This window comes from Homo sapiens, chromosome 4 (assembly GCF_000001405.40).
Source record: "Homo sapiens chromosome 4, GRCh38.p14 Primary Assembly".
NCBI lineage: Eukaryota > Metazoa > Chordata > Mammalia > Primates > Hominidae > Homo > Homo sapiens.
In genome coordinates this window covers 76,721,508-76,745,240 of record NC_000004.12, presented here as the reverse complement: position 1 = coordinate 76,745,240, position 23,733 = coordinate 76,721,508, and the positions used below count along the sequence as shown (strand labels likewise).

General features: G+C 44.0%; 1 protein-coding gene and 1 long non-coding RNA gene across 3 annotated transcripts in view; one reads left to right on the top strand and one right to left on the bottom strand.

The window, feature by feature from the left end:
- SHROOM3 (shroom family member 3) overlaps window positions 1–23,733 on the bottom strand; it is a 348,025-nt gene that overhangs the window by 38,013 nt on the left and 286,279 nt on the right. Inside the window, exons 4-5 of the mRNA NM_020859.4 lie at window positions 14,306–14,437; window positions 3,315–6,480 (exon numbers count right to left, since the gene is read on the bottom strand). Of these exons, the coding sequence (NP_065910.3) occupies window positions 3,315–6,480; window positions 14,306–14,437 (3,298 nt within the window). The remainder of the gene's footprint in view (window positions 1–3,314; window positions 6,481–14,305; window positions 14,438–23,733) is intronic.
- The window catches only part of SHROOM3-AS1 (SHROOM3 antisense RNA 1), a 92,558-nt gene that overhangs the window by 57,223 nt on the left and 11,602 nt on the right, over window positions 1–23,733 (top strand). For both annotated transcript variants that reach the window (NR_187405.1, NR_187404.1), the window contains one exon: window positions 2,341–2,433. This is a non-coding gene — a long non-coding RNA (SHROOM3 antisense RNA 1). The remainder of the gene's footprint in view (window positions 1–2,340; window positions 2,434–23,733) is intronic.

Below are 23,733 nucleotides of genomic sequence, written 5' to 3'. Positions count from 1 at the left end.
ATCTTTCTATAGCTTTGCAGGTCCTACCCACTTTTAACAGGTTAACTTTTCCAAGGTCTCACAGAAAGAAAGTGGAAACAGGCAAGAGTCTGATGTGCACTTAAGCTCCATCACTAATATCTATTTGTTCTGCAATGAAGAGGAATTAAAGGAGAGGAAAATAGAAGGTTGCATGTTTCAGAGAGGATTTCAAGCTGGCTGAGGAGAGGCCAGACCTGCCAAATACATGAGAAGGTCTCAGGCTACAAGTAGTTCAAAATGGTAGCCTCCTGCAGTCATTATTTCAGGCCAGAGATGGATCGATTGTCACATACAGAGGAACTGATTTCCATGATGACTTTGTTTTTGGAGGCAGAAAGGCCTCACTAATGAGAATTTTGAAAAAGAGCTAAATCCTTGTCAAAAACTTGTAAAATCCTGCCCTGTCAGCATCTGACTGGTAAGAGCAAGCAACATTTGTTGGAGATAGCATCAACTAAGCCAGCAGCAGAAACACACTCCACATTGTGGTTTTAACTCAGGCAGACAGTCTCTACAAGTTCACTTAACTTGTCAGAATTCTCTAAAGCAAGGATGAGAAAAATGATTGATTAACAAACCTTCCCAAAAGCTTACTGATAATGTTCTTGAAATTTATTCAATAGGAAAAATATGTATATAATAACCACAATAGTTATGTGGTGAGAGTAACTTTGTTTTATTTTTTACTCATCATAACTACAAATAAGGCAGATGATGAAGAGGATGCAAGGAGCAGACCGCCTTGCCATGAGATGCTTCTCCAGTCAGCTAAGGTCTGGCTGCTGTGCAGGAGACCAGGAGAGGGAGGAAGCTCAAGAATGCAGTCCTGGCACAGTGACAATATAAGAGACTATGCATTGTTCAGAAATTTCAGTATTTGTTGGAGCAAAGCAGTACAAAAGAAGTATTTCATTTGGAAATATTTCCCTCTCTGCCTGCATATTCCCCAAATTAAATAACATCTAAATATGGCATTCCCTTTATGAAAAGGGTGCCCAAGTACTGTTTTGTATTCACTTGTCTTTCTAAAAAGTTTTCCAAATAATACAAAGTATTTAATTGGGATTTGGAGGAATCTCTTCACTTCTCCCAACGCCTATGTTTTAGCTTTATTTCTTAATCAACCAGGCTTAAGAAATATTTGGGGGGAAAGATAAAATAACATTCATAGCCATCCAACCAACCTCTAAGACAAAATAACAATATCTAATGGGGAATAAACAATAATGATTTGGTTTTCACCTAAGCATTTTTATTTTCTTTGAAACACGGGGAGAGAAAGGAAGGTGTCTAGACTGCTATGCAGTTAAGTTGCTAAAATCCATCAAGCTAAATGAAATTGTGTGTTACATATATGGATTTTAAATGTGTGTTAGTGGTAGGATAGGGAGTGGGAATTAGCTCTGTTCATTCTGAAGGAAGGAAAAGGCTACTGAAGGCTTATGGGAAGTTGCCTCTATATTTGTCGGGGATTTATACTGGGAGAAAATATTTCTGTACAATTCTAAACAGAAAACATCTGGGAGGGGACGGTATTTTCTCTCAGAAGGAAACAGGCAAGAGTCTGATGTGCACTTAAGCTCCATCACTAGTATCTATTGTTCTGCAATGAAGAGGAATTAAAGGAGAAGAAAATAGAAGGTTGCATGTTTCAGAGAGGATTTCAAGCTGGCTGAGGAAGAGGCCAGACCTGCCAAATATATGAGAAGGTCTCAGGCTACAAGTAGTTCAAAATGGTAGCCTCCTGCAGTCATTATTTCAGGCCAGAGATGGATCAATCGTCACATACAGAGGAACTGATTTCCATGATGACTTTGTTTTTGGAGGCAGAAAGGCCTCCCTAATGAGAATTTTGAAAAAGAGCTAAATCCTTGTCAAAAACTTGTAAAATCCTGCCCTATAAGCATCTGACTGGTAAGAGCAAGTAGCATTTGTTGCTGTATGCGTGTGATAGAGTGCAGCAAACTTCTCAGCCAGAACTGCTGAATCTTTCTTTGTCTGAACTGGTTTCTTCCCATCAATGCATCCCCTCTCCCCTAATCTCTTGTCATCATGCCCATCTTTTACATCCTGGCCCAAAATCCCATTTCCCTTCAGGAGAAGCACTTTCAGATCACCTCAGAATTAATCACTTTCCTTTCCATAGCATATTATTGATCACTATTCCCAAAGCATTCACTAGTCATATTAGATTTATACATATAAGGTCGTATTCCTTGCTTAACTGTGAACTCCAGAAAGGCATGAGCCTTATTTTTTCCTTTTGTGTATCCTTTGATGCTGTAACACAGCATTTTTCATACAACACATGCTCTACAGATGCTTGCTGAATGGCTGACTTCTCTGAAAGGGAAAACAGCAGAATCTGAGAGGGGAGAGTGGAGCGGAGTTCTTCCTCCCCTGTGCTAACAGGTATGTGATTCCTATTATTGTCTTTGGTGGGAAGGGAAGCATGAGGCAGGCCCCTGGTCTACAGTGGAAGTGAAGCCTGAGGATAGGCTAAGAATTAGGGAAATTAACAGGCTCCTAGGAGTCAGAATGCTCAGCTTCTATTCCCAGCACTGCTTAAAATTTTCAGGGGAAAGTACTTTATAATCCTTGCAGCATTTGGTGCCTTTATTAGAAAATCCTTTTATGTGAGATTTTGAGTTTCTTATTTTCTCTCCTCACCAGGATAATGCACAGAAAGAGCTGAGGTGGGAGTCCGAGAGACAGGGGTCTGACATGTATAATATACTCTGCTGCACAGGATTATCATGAGGGTTAAATGAAATAATAAATGTAGATTACACTTAGCTCAGGACCTGCCACACACTTAGCTGAGGGCCAGGAATTCAATAACCAATGACTATCAATGTCAATCATTCTAGCTATTTTGTAGATGCAAAGTCCAATAGAAACAGAAAGGGTGCAAAGCTAAAACTTTTAAAATACTCAGACCCAGACTCTAATCCATTAAAAAAAAAAAAGCAAAAAACAAAAAAGATAATCCCTAATTTTTCTTAACCTTGCATTTTTCCATTGAGAGGTGGTGACTTCCTAAAATGGAGGTAGACAGATAGATAGAGAATCTGTATAACAACATACGTAATCTAGATACCTATATCTTTATAAGGAAACCAGGTAAGGGACACTTGAGAAACTCAACTCATGAAAACAAATGCTACTTTTCTGTAATCACAAGGAAAACTGAACTGGGAGAGCGGGTGAGAGTGTGGGGGGTTGGGGAGCCCCACTAAAGCTTCTAGGGAGGAAGGGACAGTTCGAGGCCAGGACTTGCTGGTTGCACGTACCTGGCGCTTGTCTGCGGTGGCGGGAGATGACCTGGACCTCACATGGACAGGGCCCGCAAGGACGTCCGAGCGTTCCAGCAGGTCCTCGGCCGACATGGACTTCCCGGCCCTGGCCCCCCAGGAGGATGGCTCCCTGGGGGTCTCATCCCCTCTCTGGGTGCCCCTTGTTCCACCGTTTGCTCCGCTAAGCAGGTCCCCGCGTCGCCGTTCCCCGAGGCGGCGGCCACCGGCGAAGGAGCTGCTGCGATCTCGGGGAGCCTGCTGGGTTTCTGCAACTGTGGCCGGCAGGAGCGTGGCCTCCCTGCGGGGCTGCAGGCTGGGCTCCCGCAGTGAGCTCAAGCTGGAGGCCGAGGCGAGGCCGGAGCCTTCGAGCGCCGCGGGGCCGGGCTGGAGGTAGGCACTCTGGGCGCGCTCACGCAGTGGCCCGGGCTCCTGGAGGCTGCAGCCGGCGGCGGAGGTAGGCCGCTTGCCGGTCTTGCGCTGGATGTAGTCCGCCAGGGCGCTCTGCTGGAACTGCTTCAGCTCGGGCCCCGACAGGCTGAGCGTGGAGCAGGCCTTGCCATCGCGCTCGAAGAGACGGCGCCGGTCGGCCACGCTGCTCTCCGGGAAACGCATCCCATTTCTCTGCGGGCCCAGGGGTGCCGGTTCGGCCTCCTCCACGATCCCCACCTCGTTCATCTTCTCGGGCTCCGAGTAGGAGCGCTTCTTCTGCTCGGGAGTCAGGCGCCGGCGAGCACCTCTCCGGGCGGCAGGGGGCACGGGCCTGGCCAGGTCGCCCTCAGCAGGGGTCACGCTGTGCCGCTCCCGGGGCGTGTGCGGGGAGGCGGAGGCCGACGCCTCGGGGCTCCGCAGCCCCACGTGGGCCGAGGAAGGCCGTGGCCGCCAGGACCTCGACGCCACGGGCGCCCCCAGCTCCAGGTCTCGACGTCGAAAGGAGGTGGCCCCCAAGACACGGGACTGTGCGTCCTTGATGCTGTTCCGGTAGGCGCGGCTGAAGGGGGCATCCAGCAGGGGCGATTCGGGCGAGCCGGGCCTGTCCCGCCACTCGGGCTCCCTCTCTGGCTCGCTGGAGAGCTGGAAGGTGCTCTGGCTACGGAGGAGCCGAGCGTCCGGCCTCTGGGGGCCACGGCCGCTGTCCGACGCTCCTCCGCTCAGCTGCTGACCGCAGGGCTGCCGGGAAGCCTCTTCCAACTTCAGCTCCCCGTTTTTGAAGTGCTGCTCCCCGTTGCCTAGGGGTTCAGCTGACTCAGAGAAACGAATGTGTGCTTTTGTCTCCTCGAAGTCATTCCCAGAAGTACTGGAAGTTGAGACGGTCCTGTGGGGCCTATAGTTATGGCCAAAACCAGAGCCGCCCACACTCGGTCTCTGGCTCCCTTGCTCTCGCTGCTCGAATTTGGAGACCTTCTCCAGCACCGAGCAGTGGGGCTTCCCGTACTGAAAGCCCTGAAGAGCCGAGGCGCTGCCTGGGCCGGGCCCCCTCCGGCCCAGACTGGATGTGTGCGGGTGCGAGGGGGCAGGCGGCTCTTCGGGACTTGGGTCTGTGCTGTTGAAAGAAGCCGAGGCACCGGTCCTCCCCTCGGGCCGCGGGTAGGAAACCTGCCGGTCCAGATGGCTCCCGAGGTCAGGAGCGGCTTTCCTCCCAGGGTCTTCTGCCTTGGTGTTGACTGCACAGGTGGGCCTGCCCCCGGGGTAACCCTCCTGGGTTCCCCGGCCTAGCTCCAGGCTGCTGTGTCTTCTCAGACTCTCAGGAATGTTCTGGAGAGATGAGAAGGCTGACTTGGTCTTGCCAAAGTTGCCTGACAGGCTCTGGCCTAGGCCTTCTCTCTCCAGCCTCCTCCAGAGGTTGGCATTGTGGTCTTCCTGGAAATCGCCCTCCCAGGGCTCTGAGAGCCTGGAAGATCTCTTGTCTTCACCCGCTTGCCAGGCCTGAGCCTGAGGGCATTTGAGGCTGTGGGGATGAGAAGATGGTTTGTTACTGTGGGTGCTCTTTCTCTCATTGGAATGTGGGCTGTTGCCTTGGGGAGGTGTGAGATGTCTCTTCAGGGAGGCATCCTCCTCATTTTCAGGCACTGAACAGAAATGGACTTTGGAGGGGACATACTTGGCTGTAGCTTCTGGTTTCTTCTCCACTGGGGACAGCAAGTCATGTTCTAAGGGCTGGCAGAAGGCAAACCCAGGCCTGCCAGATCCATTCTGGTTCCCATTCTCATCAATGGTAGCCATCTTGTTGCATGCTCCCTGAGGGGCTATGTATCCACTCTCCTTGGCCAGTGCAGGGTAGAGCATACCGTTGCTACTCACAGAAGGCTGAGGCACCTGGGCAAAGTGTGGCTCCAGGGAAGGTACCGGGTAGATGCTGGTCGGCAGCAGAGGTTGGCCAGGTTGGGCCTTCTGGGTATAGTTATGCTTGGGCTTCACTGGGGGGCTGTTCTCTGGACTCTTCTCCAGCACAGTATGCAGCTGCTCCTCTATGAATGGAGACTTCAGGGAGCCTAAAGAGTTTGCCTGAGGCCGGCAGAGCCGTTTCTGATCAAGGCTAGACCAGGAGCTGGGCCGCTCACGGTGCCGAAATGCTGCGTAACTGTCACTCCGAGCTGGAGGCAGGGGTGCACCCACCTTAGGAGGAAGGTTGTCCGTGGCAGTCTCCAAGGAACTGGGGCACTGCTGGCTCCAGGATGGGGGTGGCACTCCCTTGCCCCGAGGAATATTAGACCATTTATCATAGCCCTGACCATTTGCTGAGGCTCGGGCCTCCCTACCTTGAAGCAGCAGGGCTGAAGAGTTCACCTCATACTCTGCTGAGACTCCCCTCCGGGTGTCATAGACTGTCTTGACATAGCGAATATCTGCCTGCCTCATCCCTTCGAGGAGGCCACCTCGAGCAGAAGTATTGTCCATGGAGCCTGAACGCTCCCGGCCAGAGATGCCAGGGTGTGGATACTCTAGGATGCTAGAACTGGTGGAGAAAGAGCTGTAAGCCGAGTCTCTCTTGTTATGGAAGTGGCTGAGCTGGTCAATGCTGCCGGTGGACTTGGCAGGGGAAAGATGACAGGGTGGGTATGCCCCACTGGGCTCCAGGCTCTCCATGCTCCCCTGGGAGCTGCACTGGTCAGGGCTCCGCCTTAGATAAGCATGGTCATAGTTGGAGAGGTCACTAGTAGAGGAGCTGGAAGAAAGACAAAGCAGTCAGTACCACTGAGCTGTTATCATTTAGTAGGCTTACAGGCAGAGGACCCAGCTTATAAATGTTCTCTTGTGCAAGAGGTTTGGTGTTTGGAAGGGTGGGTAAAAAGGGCCATATTTGGGCCTTGCTCAGCCTCCTTCTGTGTCATCGCTAGGAGTAACTGCCCAACACTCTAACCTATCTGCCTCTAATTAATCACCCAGGCTAGCAAGGAGAGGAATGAGGAGCTCAGAGGAAGCCACGTGGCCTTTGGGCACAGGCAGCACTTTGATGTGATTTGCTGCATGCTGGAAATGACATTTTGCATGTGCCAAGAAATGAGAGAGGTAGAAGAGTGATTGAGACTGAAACTGTGTGTCTACTGGGGCTGTTTGTGGGAAGAGGGGAAAAAGTTAATAAGAGAATAGGCACGGGTGAAGGAGACTTTGTGTGCACATGTATATGTTTTTAGTTAATATCTTTCCTTTTTATGGAATTGAAGGATACACCCTGGCAATCTTCCTGGAATCTTAACTGCACTAGAAACAATTTGTTTGTGGTGGGAAAGCTAAACACAAAGCTGAATGAGAGAAATTAGAGTCAGAAAAAGCTCATGAGAGGCAGAACTAAGGGGAAAGAGGGAAGGAGAGGGAAGCTTTATGAGAAGGCTTAATCACAGGGGCTCTTCGGTGCTGGGATTCCAACACCTGTGGATGACTTCCAAAAGCCAAAGCAAAGCCTCCTCATACATTTAGGAGGGCAAGATTTTCTCATTTACAAGCTCCTCCAGATGGTTTTCAGAGCCCGTCTGGAGAAGAGGAAAAAGACTATCAATCACTGTAAACTCCAGAAAGCTGTCTCAAAATAAAATTACTTAGAAACTCAAAATATATGTGTTTTTAAAAAATCACTTAAAACTCAACAATAAGAAAACAACCTGATTTAAAAACTGGCCAATCCTAAGAAGATATACAGATGGTGAAAAAGCAAATGAAAAGGCTGTCATCATAAGTCACTAGGAAATTACAAATTAAAACAACAAGATACTAGGGAACATGTTCTCAGGACGTCCTGAGGGCTCTGTCATAGGCAAAAACAAAAAACAACCAAACAAAACCAAGATACCACTACACACCTATTAGAACGGCCAAAATCCAGAACATTGACAATACCAAATGCTGGTGAGGATGGGGAGCAAGAGAAACTCTCATTCATTGCAGGTGGTAATGCAAAATGGCACAGCCACTTTTAAAAGAAGTTTGGCAGTTTCTTACAAAATTAAACATACTCTTACCATAAGATCCAGTGATCACATTCCCTGGCATTTATCCACTGGAACTGAAAACTCACGTCCACACAAAAACCCACACACGGATGTTTACAGCAGTTTTATTCATAATTGCCAAAACATGGAAGCAACAAGGCTGTTCTGCAGTAGGTGAATAAACTGTGGTATATCTACACAATGGAATGTTATTCATTACTTAAAAAAAAAAAAAAGAGCTGTCAAGCCATGAAAAAAATATGAAAGAAACTAAAATGCATTTCACTAGATGAAAAAAGCCAGTCTGAAAAGGCTACAAACCATATGATTCCAACTACATGACTGACATTCTGGAAAAGGCAGAACAATGGACACAATAAAAAGATCAGTGGTTGCCAGGTCTTAGGGGCGATGCAAGGAGGAATGGGCGAGCACAGAGGATTTTTAGGACAGTGAAAGTATTCTGTACGATACTATAATGATGGATACATGTCATTATACATTTGTCCAAACCTACAAAATGCACAACAGCAACAGTGAACCCTAATATAAACTATGGACTTTGGGTGATTATGATGTGTCAATGTAGGTTTATCAGTTGTAACAAATGTACTACTCTGGTGGGGGTTGCTGAAAATGGAGGAGGCTGTGCATGTATGGGGACAGGGACTATATGGGAAATCTCTGGACTTTGTTCAATTTCACTATGAAACTAAAACTGCTCTAAAAAATGTCTGTCTCTGTCTCTATATATATACACACACGGGGAGGGCATATATGAAGGAATAAGTGGTTTAAATGTTTGTGACTCACTGTTCTCTAAAGAAGGGTAAATCACTAGAAGTTCTTGCCCAAGATTTTCTATTTTTAAATGGATAGGCGTTTCAACACTATTAAAATTCATGATGTATTCTTCTATTTCTAGATTACATGTAAATAAATGTAGTGTCTTATTGGTCAAGTATGTGATAATGCTTTATGGCTGGAATATCTCCAGATAATATGTTGAGACTAGAAAAACCATATTCGGAGTCAAAACTTGTGCTGGAATTTAAGGAAAAGGAGACTACACTTTCAGCAGCTCTCCTCAAGAATGTAATTTTTCTCTATCAGAGAAAGTCAGTTGACTGAATGGCGCATCCTACTTCGGGACAGATAGGTATAAATTCAAGGGAGAAAGGAAGGAAATAGCTCCCAAGCCAGCCAGATCAGGGAAATCAGACCCGGCACTCAATGGCATAGCATATGTCAAAGATTTTACCCCCTACCCTGAATTTCTTCATTCCCCTCTAAATAAAGAGGTCCTACTAAAGAAGCGCTAGACAGCCTTGTGGATAATCCTGTATGACCCAGTCTGCTTCCTTTTTAGAGCTAATACTTCCAGGGGAAATGGAACCCCATAAGGGCCGTTTCATTCACCATTTCTATGAAGGTAGGAGACATTAGGTAATCCTCCTCCCAACTGCTGAGAATTTTAGCAGTCTTTCATTGAAAGGATAATTCAAATCTAACATAGGAACACACACAACAAATCAAAGTAAATAAACTGATGGTTAACTGAAACACTATCGAGTGGGGAAGATACCATCACTAAAATATATATATATATATATATATATATATATATATATTTTTTTTTTTTTTTTTTTTTTTTTTTTTTAAGATAGAGTCTCGGTCTGTCGCCCAGGACGGAGTGCAGTGGCGCAATCTCGGCTCACTGCAACCACCGCCTCCCGGGTTCAAGCAATTCTCCTGCCTCAGCCTCCCGAGTAGCTGGGATTACAGGCAGGTACCACCATGCCCAGCTAATTTTTGTATTTTTAGTAGAGACGGGGTTTCACCATGTTGGCCAGGCACGTCTCAAACTCCTGACCTCAAATGATCCACCCTCCTTGGCCTCCCAAAGTGCTGGGATTACAGGCGTGAGCCACCGTGCCCAGCCTAACATATCTTAAAATATAGATGGTATCTATAAATATGAAATCCCTGTTACACATATCTCTAATCAGACCAGTGCAAGGGTATAGTGGGTTCCTTCCTGTAGCAAACCTAAGGTAGAAAGGTCATGGAAGGCCTCTGTTAGGTATTTTCCCTCCTGCCCGGAGAGGGTTCTGTCCCTTCAGAATTACCATTCCCAAGCTGCCTGGGGAATACAGGCACTGATATCACTCACTAGGACAAGTTCTTCCACTGCTGTCTGGAAATACTCATTTTTATTACCTTTGCCATTGATGCCACCAAAATGGCACTTTTAATGATGGGTAAGAAAACTTGGAATGAAGGTTTTCAATCCTGCAACAATTCCAACTCACATAAAGCCAGCCTTACTCTCAAGAGGGGTGCATCTTGAGTGGATCAAAGTTCTTACCATGGTCTGGCTACTTCTCCAGCCTCATTTTCTATTGCTCTTCTTCTTGCTCCCTGCACTCCAGCATAATAGTTTCCCTGTTGAAACTCAAACCCAGGAAATTTATTCCCATCTCAGGGTCTCAGAGTCTTTGTACTCACTGCTCCCACCACCCGGAGTGCTCTTCACCTGGCTTACTCCCTCTTACTTCATTCAGAGAGGACCTCCTGGAACTAACTAAAGAGCATCTCTTCTCTCCTTTATGCCTGTTACCCTGCTTTATTTTCTTCACAGCACTTACCACTACTTGACATTATATCATATCCCTTTGGTTATGTGAAAGAGACTTTGACTGTATCTATAATATTTAAAGAACTGAAGTGAACATAAAATGCTTTTTAATTCTGTGGTAGATGTATGTATTTTTATAATATCATTCTATTTTGTGTGTTTAAAATACTTTTAAACACAGGTATCTACCAGGTACGGTGGCTCACGCCTGTAATCCCAGCACTTTGGGAGGCTGAGGCGGGAGGATCGCTTGAGCCCAGAATGTCAATGTTGGAGTTAGCCTTGATCGCATCACTGCACCCCAGCCTGGGCAACACAGTGAGACCCATCTCAAAAAAAAAAAAAAAAGTATTTTTAAAATATTTAAAACATAGAGCACAAAATAAGTGTATGAAAACATTTCCTAAAGTGTGCTCACAGAACACTAATTCCTTAGATGATTAAATATGTTTGGAAAATATTGAGCTAAATAAGCTAAACAATTTTATTTACTGCAAGATTTCTGAGTCTTTTATAAACTATTGTTCTCCCAAACCATTTTTCATGTGTTGTTCTAAAAGAGAAATATATAATTTAACTAAGAGATGTTTTCTAAACTTACTTGATCTCAGAAACTTTTTTTTCTAAGAAGTATCTAGTGGATTGTTATTCCACGGAACACATTTTGGGAAACAAATAATTGTGGTGCAGGGGGCTTTTTATGCCTTGTTCACCACTGTACTCCCAATACCTACAAAGCATCTGAGACATAGTGGATGCTCATACAGATTTGTTGAATGAATGAATCACTGATTTGATACTGCTATTTCAGCCTCTTGTCAGGGGGCTAGACTACATAACTTTTCAGTCTCTTCTAAAGTACTTTAGTACTTTAGAACCACTGGGTGAGATTTCCATAGGGCAGCAAAAACAGAGTGTCAAGGGTCTGACAGAAAGCAGCTGAAATACAATTTCAGTGAAATTCCAAATCCAACCTAGCTCACAGTTAAATTACACATCTTCAGTCTCTCCATACTTCTCTTTCTCTCTCTCTCTCACCTCACTCCTGTCTCTCCCTCATCCTCTCACCCCCTCTTACGCCTGCTTCTTAACAAGAAACAGATCCATAAATTCAGGACTGAGATTGGTTTCTGGAACTTAAACTAAGGCTGTCAGAGAGATACCAGCCAACTGATGTGGCACACTGGACCACTAGATGCCACTGTGCTCCTCAGAAACACACCTGGGGCACCTCTCCACCTGCCGCTGCCAAGATCAGATCCCACAGGTGGAACTCAGCATGGGGGTCAAGCCCTCTGCCAAAGCTGCAAGCCTCAGGCATGGTTTGTTTGTGCTGCACCACAGGGTGGTTTGTGCTGCAGCAGGAGAGAATGCACACGCCTGTAACATTTTGAGTTATTTGAACTTTCCTTTCTCCTTTTGTCCCCATGCAGTGCTTTTGTGCTGATGGTCCTTATGTCAGGAGGAACAATTTTGAAGCTTCAATCAGAGAGACAGAGTGGTAGATACAGCACAAGGGCAGATCCACCTGCCTAAGCCCCTCTGGAGGCTGGGATGCAGAGGAGGAAGGAGGAGGTGCAGAAGCAAAGCCTTGAAAATACTGTACTTCTGGTGCTGACGGCCCCATTCCCCTGAGGCCTACTGGAGCTCACCATAGTTACTGTAAGCAGTCATTCTAAGTACTGATTGCAGTGCTTATCTCTGCTGAAGGGCCAGCACATTTTTTAAGTCACAGTGTGGCTTTGGATTTAGGGCTTCATAAGAAGGTTAGGAGTAAGGATGCTCAAAGGACCCCACTGTTGAAGGGCACTCTGTTAATACATACCCACCTGCATTTATAAGTGTGTGCTGGCCATTCACCCTCAAGTTCAGTACCAGGTTTCATGGTGTCCTGAAGTCTTCAGCTTAATTATTATAATCAGTCATCATTCATTGAGTGCTTACTATGTACTAAGAATTGCACATATGCTATTTTATATAATCCTCACAACAATCCAATGATGTAGGTACTAGTTATTTTACAGAAAAGGAAGCCAAGATCAAAGGTTAAATGATTTGCTCAAGCTTACACCGTAGGGGTAAGGGGAGATTTAAACCTAGGTCTGACTTAAAGGCCCAGTCCCTTACCACTATGCTATTCTTCCTTCATTGTTAGGCTCCACACACCTTACCTTCTAAAGGCCCTCAACACCTCCATGCCTGTAAAGCAAAAGTAGTCTGGCTTTGTCAAGGGTCAGGAGACACTGCTAGGAAACCTGCTCTCTGAGAACAGATGGCTCAGACGGTGAGAATAATTTCTTTCAGGGTGATTGGGAAGGACATGGGCAAGGGAGAGGAGCATCTGTAACCAGGAAGGAACCAGGACATTATCTCTTCCTGTGGCCTGAATCCTACCCTGATATGCTGAGAGAGGTTTGTCCTGTTCAATTCCATGAGCTACTGTTCATCAGTGAGAGGTCTAGGATTTGGCCCTTGACTTGACCAGACATGAGTATTAAGGGCTGTGACTGAGTTCTGGCCTTGCCAAATGCATAGCTACCATCTGTTCATTAAGTAATCCTTCCAGAAGCTTCCAGCCTCCCCTCCTCCCCCCAACACACATGCACACACATACCAACACTTGCGTCTCCTTTGTATGTAAGGACTAAGTGACCCTTATTTTCCTGACCTCGCTACATTAGCGCTATCTAAGCATTTCCCAAAAGTGATAAGCTACGGAGTCTAACTCCCTGGGATCAGAAGATAGATTCCAGTTTGTAGGGGTTCCAAGTCTGAAGTGGAGGGGAGTCCTGGCTTAGTTCTCTCTCTAATGTGTGATGGTGGTCAGGCTGTGCTCCCTCGTTCTATAACCCCTCTCCTAAACCACTTGTGAGGGCTCTCCTTCTTCCTGACCAAACCTTGACCCATACAACAAACAGTAGCTAGAAAAGCAGAGGAAGTATAACCTACTGATTACATGCAGCAGCTTTGAAACCTGGCTTGGATTTGTCTTGACTTGGGTACTGATCAGTTGTTTGAGCTTGGACAAACTAATCTTTCCAAGCTTAAATTTCTGTTTGTTTGTTTGTTTGTTTTTTTTTTGAGATGAAGTCTTACTCTGTCACCCAGGTTGGAGTGCAGTGGCGTGATCTGAGCTCACTGCAACCTCCACCTCCCGGGTTCAAGCGATTCTTCTGCCTCAGCCTCCCGAGTAGCTGGGATTACAGGTTCATGCCACCACACCTGGCTAATTTTTGTATTTTTAGTAGAGACAGGGTTTCACCGTGTTGGCCAGGCTGGTCTTGAACTCCTGACCTCAGGTGATCCGCCCTCCTTGGCCTCCCAAAGTGCTGGGATTACAGGCATAAGCCACTGCACCCAGCCGCAAGCTTCAATTTCCTATTCTGCAAAATGGGGTTAATACTACTGTATCTGTTTTAAAGAAGTCTATGAGTCACTACATGAGATAATGTATACACTGAGTGGTCCTCAGTACATTAGTTGTGCCGTTGGAGCTAAGATGGACAAATTACCTTAATTGAAAGAGCAAAACCAAATGGGGAGTTCAAACACAGGAATAAAAATGGATACGGTTTTGACTAAGGCAGAAAGCACACTTAAGCACTGAAGGAAGAAAAATCTCAATTTTTCTAATATAGTGCTATCAGTGGAGAAATGTCTGAGAATTGATGGACCCCATAAATATCTCAAATGGCCAGCCAGTGCTTCAAATAATTCTGATCTTCAAGTTGATCTAGCCAAGCATATAAAGGTAACTCATATACACGTCAAGCACTATAAGAGGATGAGAAAAGCAGTGGATAGAGATTTAATATTTAGTGTGAGTATAAGAAAAAACATTCTCAAAACAGAGAAGAAAACATTCTTTTCTGGGAACATGACATTAGAAAGAAAGAAACCCTTCAGTCTCAGCTATAGCCACTTACCTGGAATGGTAGCTTTGGTGCCAAGGAGGGCCGATCATACCCTGAGATATCTGCATCATGCTGGCATCGGGTTGCTTCTCCCCAGATTTAGTTGTGTGCCACGAGTGAGGTCGGCCTGCAGGCTCACTGCGCCTGGGGAGACACAGGAGGGACCCCCCAACATTAGCCAAAGTCTCAGCTGAGTCTCCTCACTGATGTGACTTGTGGATTTGGAAGCGAAGACTGCTGTGTCCTCAGAGATTGAAAAGCAACCAAGTCAATACTGAGAAGAAGATTTTGCTACTTATTTCTCTGACTAATCATTGTTATTCTCTGCTTAACTTGTAAAAATTTTTACTTATTTTGACATAATTTCAGACTTGCATTAAAATGTTGCAAAATTAGTGTAAAGAATTCTCACATAAACTTCGCCTAGACTTCCTACATGTTAACATTTTGTACTTTATTAATGTAAAGCACATGGAGTTGCCTTGGTCTTTCTTGGTCTCTATCTATCCATATATAAAAATGGGAGCCCGCAATTCCTTTCCATTTCCCAAAGGGCTTTGGATATATGGCAAAACATTTTCTGGGGTTTTCGAAGTCCTCTATCATATCCTGTTGCTGGGTAAATGATACTATTGGTAAGAACTGCAGAAACATTAGCAGCAACCTCAGTGTGAACACTGCTCTAAGCTACATGGTCTAGAGAACAAAATGCCCTCTGAAATTTCTCATTTTGCAAGTCAATGACTTCAACTTTTAAACATCCTGCCCTTACAACACAAAGAATTGACAAAGACAAAGAGAAAATGTGGGTGTCCTTCAGACTGCAACACTGAAGAATGAATTCAGTAAGGACTATAATTCAGTAAGGACTATAGAAAGTCAGAGTCAGGAGAGAGCTGCTGTGCCTTATTTTTGGCAAAAAAAGTCAGGTAATCTACCAGGCATTTCATGCTGAAAATTCTTGAACTGTAAGACTGTAGGGGGATTTTTCTGCAGTTTAGAAACACTTTTATGGGATCCAGGAATCCATCTGGATATGGTGAAAATAATAGCTGTAAATTATTCCAACTCATTGTACTTGGCCTTGTAGCTAAAAATGCACCTATCTCTTTTCTGTGAAAAAATAAATTAGTTTTTGTAATATAAATGAAAAATAATTCCCCTGAAGCTAATAAAATTTAATGTATTAGGACATCAGAAAAATACTAGACCAGGTGTCAGGAGACCTGGGCTCTTGCCCTGACTTCGTTATTAACTTGCTGTCTGACCTTATGTGAGTTACTTCCCCTTCTTAGCTAAGCCTTTGCTCATCTAGAAAGTCAGAAGATTAATCAGAGGCTGGATTAACTGCATCTTAATCTAAAATAACTTTAAAAATATAGCAGACACTGAAGAGCTTCCCAAAATAGATGATGACTTAAAAACAAAACAAAACACAAACATATACTTCAACTCCTTAGAGATTAGGGTGATAGGAAAATGTTCTTGTGTGAAGCAAGGGAAACAAATACACAAATTTTTTTTTTTCAAACAGTCAGTCAACAAAGATTTACTGAATTGAAGGAGTCTGTAGTCAGGTGGACTAATGCTTGAGTTGCCAAATAGGTCAGGAAAAGTGAGAAAAATTCAACTCCCTCTCAAGAGAGGGAGAGAGGCTGGAATGTAGCTAAGGGTACCAGCTCTGAGATAAGAAAAACCTGGGTTCTAATCCAGATTTAAACTGAATACCACTGGTTTTAGCTTTTAGATCTCAGGTAAATTTCGTAATCACCCTGAGTTTCCTTATCAATGAAGGGCAGATTATAGTAGAACCTATTGACGGAGTTTTGTGAGATTAAAAATGAGAAAACACACCTGGCCCATAGTAAGAGCTCAATAAATGTTAAGTCTTATTACCATCATTCATTACTAATAAGTTGATGAATAGTAGACAGGGTAGGGAGACAAGCCTTCAGAGATCTTTAAAAAGAAGGATGGTAAATGATGAGGGAGACAAGAATGGGCAGGAACTGCTGGTGCTGATGAGGCGCCCAGCCCCGAGCTCCCCAGTGAGGTATTGCCCCGAGCTCCCCAGTGAGGTATTGAGTCAATAATTATGACAGAGCCTGGCCTGAGACTTACCATGGTCACAGCCTTTCGGACCCTGGCCATGGTGGTGAGGAAGGGAGCCATCAGAGCAGTGGCTGTGACCTGAAATCACGGGGGTAAACATAGGCCAAAAAGAAACAGACCTCACCCACCTGGAAACTATAAAGGAACAAAAGGGAGCAGGTGCACAGCTTGGGCTAAGGAGATGAAGTAGATGCAAAATCAAGACATCAACAGCAGAACCAACATATGACAATTTGTTTGCCTCCTTGTCCCCACATGTATTAGTTCATTCTCACGCTGCTGATAAAGACATACCTGAGACTGGGCAATTTACAAAAGAAAGAGGTCTAATGGACTCACACTTCCACATGGCTTAGGGAGAGGCCTCACAATCATGGCAGAAGGCAAGGAGCAGCAAGTCACATCTTACATGGATGGAAGCAGGCAAAGAGAGAGAGAGCATTTGCAGGGGAACTCCTCTTTTTAAAACCTAGATCTCATGAGACTTATTCACTATCATGAGAACAGCATGGGAAAGACTTGCCTCCATCATTCAATTACCTCCCACCGGGTCCCTCCCACAACACGTGGGAATTAAAGATGAGATTTTGTTGGGGACACAGCCAAACCATATCACCATACCTCTCTAATCTTCAATAACAGGTCCCATGTAACCACTAAACCTTGAAGTTCAGCACTGCTGCCCAGGTTGGAGTGCAGTGGCGCAATCTTGGCTCACTGCAACCTCTGCCTCCCAGGTTCAAGTGATTCTTGTACCTCAGCATCCTGAGTAGGAGGCTGGGACTACAGGCACACGCCACCATGACTGGCTAATTATTATTTTTCTTGCATTTCTTTTTTTTTTGGTAGAGACGGGGTTTCACCATGTCAGCCAGGCTGGTCTCAAACTCCTGGCCTCAAGTGATCCGCCCACCTTGGCCTTCTAAAGTTGAATCAACCTTTTTTTTTGAGATGGAGTCTTGCTCTATCGCCCAGGCTGGAGTGCAATGGCACAATCTTGGCTCACTGCAACTTCCACCTCCTGGGTTCAAGCAGTTCTCCTGCCTCAGCCTCCCAAGTAGCTGGGATTACAGGCTGTGCCACCATGCCTGGCTAATTTTTTGTATTTTTAGTAGAGACAGGCTTTCACCATATTGGCCAGGCTGGTCTTGAACTCCTGACCTTGTGATCTGCCCACTTTGGCCTCCCAAGGTGCTGGAATTACAGGCGTGAGCCACCGTGCCCGGCCGAATCAACCTTTTTCTCAGTGCAGGTAGGCAGGGAGCCTGAGGGTTCATGGCTCAGCATCTTAGCAGTTCAGTATTCTTGCTGCTAGTCCTTCTCTAATTTTGGACACCAAAGTCCCCAGAAATTAGGCTGCTGCATCTTCAACCGGTTCCTTGAAGGTAGGCTGCCTCACTGACTTAGATTCCTGGTTTATCACCTTGTTCCATCCAATGATTAGAAATCCTTCCTAGTGCTCTAAACCCTTCAGGGGCTGGCCCAAATCACACAGCTAGTAAGTCTGGGAGTAAGGGTTTAAACCCAGTTATATATGACTTCAGGTACTCAACAAATGCCACTGCTTAATCACATAGCAAAAGCCCAGCCTCAAAGAAAAAATAAAGTCTCTTTTGCATGAGATACCTAGAGGTGTTTCATGTATGTATCATTTTAGACCCCAGTGGGCCCAAAATACATTAGGAGAAAGAAGAGAAAGAACAAACTGTCATCTTCCTACTGCTCATTCCCACTACTTAGTGAAGGGAGTTGGCAGAATCACTCTCAGTAGTAGAAATTAGCCCCGGGACTGGGTATTGGCCTTGAGAAGCCAATGGACACCAATGGACCGTGACCTCAGACCAGCACCACGTGACACTAAGGACGGCTCTTCAGTGGCATCATCACCCAACAGTATCTGTCCATGCCTAGCTAGATGCCGAGAAGATTTTCCCACCCAAGAGAAATAGAAAGTGATAAATTCCACAGGCTCCACAGGAAAAAAGATGTCTTCCTGTCAAGGAGATGAGGTGTGAGACAACGTTTACTGATAACTTCAGGGGTTCCAGATAGGCCCTCTAGTTTGCTTGTGCCTATAAGCTGAGTTACTTGGGAGGCTGAGGCAGGGGGCTCAATTTTTTTTTTAATTAGCTGGGTGTGGTGGCATCCACCTGTAGTCCCCACTACTCAGAGGCTGAAGCAGGAGAATCACTTGAACCCAGGAGTTTGAAGCTGTAGCGAGCAATGACTGTGTGCCACTGCATTGCAGCTTCCAGAGAGACAGTCTCTTAAATTTTTTTTTTTTTTTTTTTTTTAGATGGAGGGGATGGGAGTGGAGAGAGAGAAGAGGAAATAAGCAGGATGCTGATGGCTCATTCTGGGGCATGCGAATGAGTGCCTGTGGGACTTTCAGTGGAGAAGGACTAGAGGACTGAGGGCTGGGCTGCATATAGAAATTTACAAGTCACAAAACACAGGGCCTTTGAGAGAAGATAAGTGACTTGAGGAGAATGAACAGGGAGACAAAGGAAATGATTTAAGGATGAGTCTCTGAGAATGATCAAAATTTAGGGGAGAGGGAGCCTGGGAAAAAGCCCAAGAGGAGCTTCCACAGAAGGAGGAGGAAAACAAGTTAAGTATGGGAGTCTCACAGATTTCTAGTGGGGAGAGTGAGGAGGAGGAGGAAACTGTCAACCACTGCAATGCTGTAAAGAGGTTAGTGTGATGAGGGTAGATGCATGGCCACTGGATTTGGCAACTAGCAAGTCCTTGCAATGGCATGCTTTAGGATGGGGCTAAAGGTGAACAAGGGATAAGACAGGCAGTATGGGCAGATGATTCCTTCAAAAACCTGTTTCTAAAGGGGAGAAGAGGGTGGTAGCTAGAAGACTGAAGGGATCCAGGGAGTGAAAAGGTTTTGTTCCTAATGTTTTTGTTTTAAATGAGAAGTTCAAGCAAGTGTCTATAAGGCAGAGAGCGTGCAGAGGCCCATCTGAAGACACAGGACACAGGAGGAGGACTCCTTAAAGACTCAGGAAGGGATGGGATTCAAACACTCAGGTGAAGGGTATGAGCTTATGGAGGAGGAAAGCCAGTGCTGTTGAGATAGAAGAAAGGTGGATGCTGGCAAATGTGAAAGCAAGTAGGTAGCACGAAAAGTTGAGGGGACCTCGTACCCAATGTCCTCTGTTTTCATGATGAACCTAACCTGGAAGAGGGAGAAGTGAGGGAGGTGACACACGGGATCGGGCTCCAGGGATGTGGTACATGAGGACTAGAAGAGTTGAAACTGATATTTAAAAATATTTAATTATCCTTATCTCATCACTATACATTATTTGTACTGAAACATCATTATGTACCCCATAAATATGTACAATTAAATGTCCATTTAAGAAAATAAAAAATTAAACAAATTTTAAAGAGATATTTTAAAGAAATAATGACTAAGATATTGTCTCTGCCTTTAAGGAGCTTACATTCTGCAGGAAAGAGCAAATGAAATAATTCCTACAGTACAGATAAAATAAGTGCTTTAGAAAGTAGGTCCAATACCTGCAATACAAAGACAGCAAACTCAACTTTGGAGCTTTTACTTTGGAGGAGGTTGGAGAGGTAACTATTTATTTGCCCTGGGCAGAGTATCAGGTTTCATCACAGTTCTAATAGATTAAGAACAAGATGACAGGATGATTTTGGCGGTGGGGGTGGGGAGGGGGAAGCAAATCAAAAGGCCCTGAAAAAAACAAAAACACGAGGAAAAAAAAACAAAAAACAACTTTTCTTTTAGATGCAGAAGATATGTTGGGAGAGGGCTTCGGAGATAAATCTTTGTTTTATAAGATTCTTCCATACCGTACAGATAGGAGGTAAGTGATGAAATAAGCGAAGAATTGAAAAGGATGACCAAAAATAGCCCACCAGTGTATATCAGTACAACCTGAATGAAGGCCAGTTTGACAACATCTAGCAAATGATTTTTAAAATAACATACCCATCAAAAGATTGGAAGACAACCTAAATGCCCATTAGCAGCAGACTAGTTAACTCAGTGTGGTATATCCATATAATGGCTGTTAAAAAGGATGAAGTATCTCTATACATACTGATATGGAAATATCTCCAAATATATTGTTACACTGGAAAGATGCAGAATTACATGTACAGTCTGCTACAGTATGTGGGGAAAATCACATGTGTGTATATTAACGTAAAGAGTAGTTTTGGAAGGACACTTAAGAAACTAGATACAATGACTGCCTCTGGGAAGGAAAACTTATTTTCACTGTATTTCATTTTGTAACTTTTCAAATTTTATACTATACGCATGTATTACCTATTGAAAAGCAAAGTATTTTTAAAATAGTCTTTCATTTTGAAAATACAATTCACTGTAGCTTGAGAGTTAAAAAAAAAAAATTAAACAGCTATTTTTTCAGTTAAACAGCTGACTTTCTCAATGATGCGAAACATTTAATAAGCATTCCTAAAGAGCATGGCATACTAATTTTACATTTTGGGATCACTTTGATCTTTAAGAACTTAAAGAAATATTTTCCTAAAGTACATCACATCATGAGCATATCAGTAAGTCAGAAGATGGTTTAATTTTAAAATTTAGCAAACTAAGTTTTGTGTGTGGGTGTAATTCAAACAAAGCCCTTTTGTTGCATTCCTAACCACAAACAAGGAAGCTTAACTGCGTGGGATGGGTAGGCTGATGAAACTGGAATTCGCAAGTGACATGATGTCCTTCTTAGATGATTTTGCCCTAACACAGAGAGATTCAGGAATGCAAAACAAGTTTCTGAGAAATCTACAGTAAGTTCAGTATTTTAAGCAGTATTCACTAATCACCTATGTGCCTTCAACCTTGTTAAATTATAGTTGGAGCTCTGCAAGGTCTTGGAAGGCCTAAGAGTTTATAATCTTGCTGGGGAGGCTCAGATGCAAGAAAAACTATTAAACAAAGTCAGAGCATCATTCATTCACTCAAAAAATATTTGAGTGCCTACTGAGTGCCAACCACCATTCTAGGCACTTGACGAGTATTTTCTCACTTAGCCTTTATATTACCTTTATGATACAGGACTATTAATGAGGAAAGTGAGGTAAATACAGAATAAACAATGTGTTCACTGTCACAAATGTAGTGAGCAGCACAGCTACTAAACCCAGGCATCTCTCTCCAGAGCCTGTGCTTTTAATTTGCAAGTAAGGAGCACTGTGCAATGAGGTGGGAGAGGCAGAGGAGGGAGACAGGGAGTAAGCAAGTAAGCAAATCAAACAAGATATTCTCATATAGTTATAAGGGTTCTGAAGGAAATAAAACTGGGTAATGTGAGAGTGTGATGGAAAGTCCCCATTTAAGTCAGAGACAGCCTCTATGAGCAAGTGACATTCAAACCAAGACCTAAATGATAAGAAATAATTAACCATGCAAAGAGCTAGGAGAAGAATATATAGCTCCAAAGGAAAAATGAATGCAAAATCCTTGAGAGGAGGAATGAGTTTGGGTTTTTAAAGAATACAAGAGAGTATAGCCAGAGCCTTGTGAGTGAAGAGCAGATGGTATAAAATTCAGATCATATTGGGCCACCGAGGCTGTAGAGGCATTTTGGATACAAAAAGCTCACATGAATGGGGTCTGAAGTCAGCCAGAAGGCTTAGTAGTACAGTGGGACTTCAGATGACCTTGAAAGATTGGTATGCTTTGGATAAATGGAGAAAGTGACAACTATTAGTTGGAAAATAAAAAATTCTAAGAACTAATTTTTTTGTTGATGCTATTCTTTAACGAACTGTTATGACACATGTTGCATGGGCTCTTCTCGGTGCAGTGTTATAAAACTCTGCCAGTTATCAACTGGACCCGAGTCAAGTGTATAAGAATACAAAATATACTCAGACTACCAGCACCACAAAATAAAAGTTACCATATTTCTTAAACCCCTTACTAACCCATCAACCTCTCCATCCATTATTGTTTAGTGCGCAATACTATGAGACAAAGTCCATCATAAGAAAGTTCTAATCAAACACCCCCATATCCCCCAAAAAAGAAACAAAATACATCAATATATTCTGCAAATTAGGTCTATTAAATTAAAATTTCAAATATTTGAATTGTAGATCTTCATCATATTCTTATTGAACACTGTGCTTAGCTGGGGATAAAGCACTGGTTTTTTTTTTAACTTTAATTTTAGGGGTACACATGCAGGTTTGTTATATAGGTAAGCTTGTGTCATGGACTGGGGGTGTTATATAGATTATTCCATCACCCAGGCACTAAGCCTAGTACCCAATAGTTATGTTTTCTGATCTTCTCTCTCCTCCTACCCTTCACCCTCAAGTAGGCCCCAGTGTGTGTTGTTCCCTTCCATATGTCCATGTGTTCTCATCATTTAGCTCCCACTTATGAGAACATGCAGAATTTGGTCTTCTGTTCCTGCGTTAGTTTGCTAAGGATAATGGCCTCCAGCTCCATCCATGTTCCTGCAAAAGACATTATCTCATTCTTTTTTACGGCTGCATAGTATTCCATGGTGTATAGGTAGCACATTTTCTTTATCCAATCTGTCATTGATGGCCCTTTAGGATGATTCCATGTCTTTGCTATTGTGAATAGTAAAGCATTGTTTTTAAAGATTCTTTTTACATGCCACTGCTGTTTTTCCCCATTTTTCCTCATGTATTTTTAAAATTATGAAATCGTTTTTTGAGGCAGGGTCTCACTCTGTCACCCAAGCTGGAGTGCAGTGGCATGATCATAGCGTACTGCAGCCTTGAACTCCTGGGCTCAAACAATCCTCCCATCACAGCCTCCTAAGTAGCTAGGACTATAGCACGTACCCCTATGCCTTGCTTATGAAACATTTTAAACATATATAAATGTATCTGGATTAATATAAATAACCATGTATGCATCATCAAAATTTATAAAGTTTATAAAGTCTTCATATTTTCCCCATATTTACTTCTGGTATTCCTCCTCCACCACACCCATTTCTCTTGCCCCTACAAGCTAACCACTGTAGTTAATTTCTTAAGTATCTTTTCCAGTGTTCTGTTATGCAAATACAGGCAAACATGAACATATAATCTCATTTCACTCCTTTCCCAAAAGAAACTTCATGGCCTGTTCTATCCCTTGCTTTTTTACTCAACAATACATATTCAGCTGGGCATGGTGGCTCACGCCTGTAGTCCCAGCTACTTGAAAGTCTGAGGTGGTAGAATTGCTTGAGCTCAGGAGTTTATGATCAGCCTGGGCAAAACTGAGACCCCCTTCTCAAATAAAAGCCCTCAAACATATTGAAGATCATTCTATACCAGTATTTACAGAG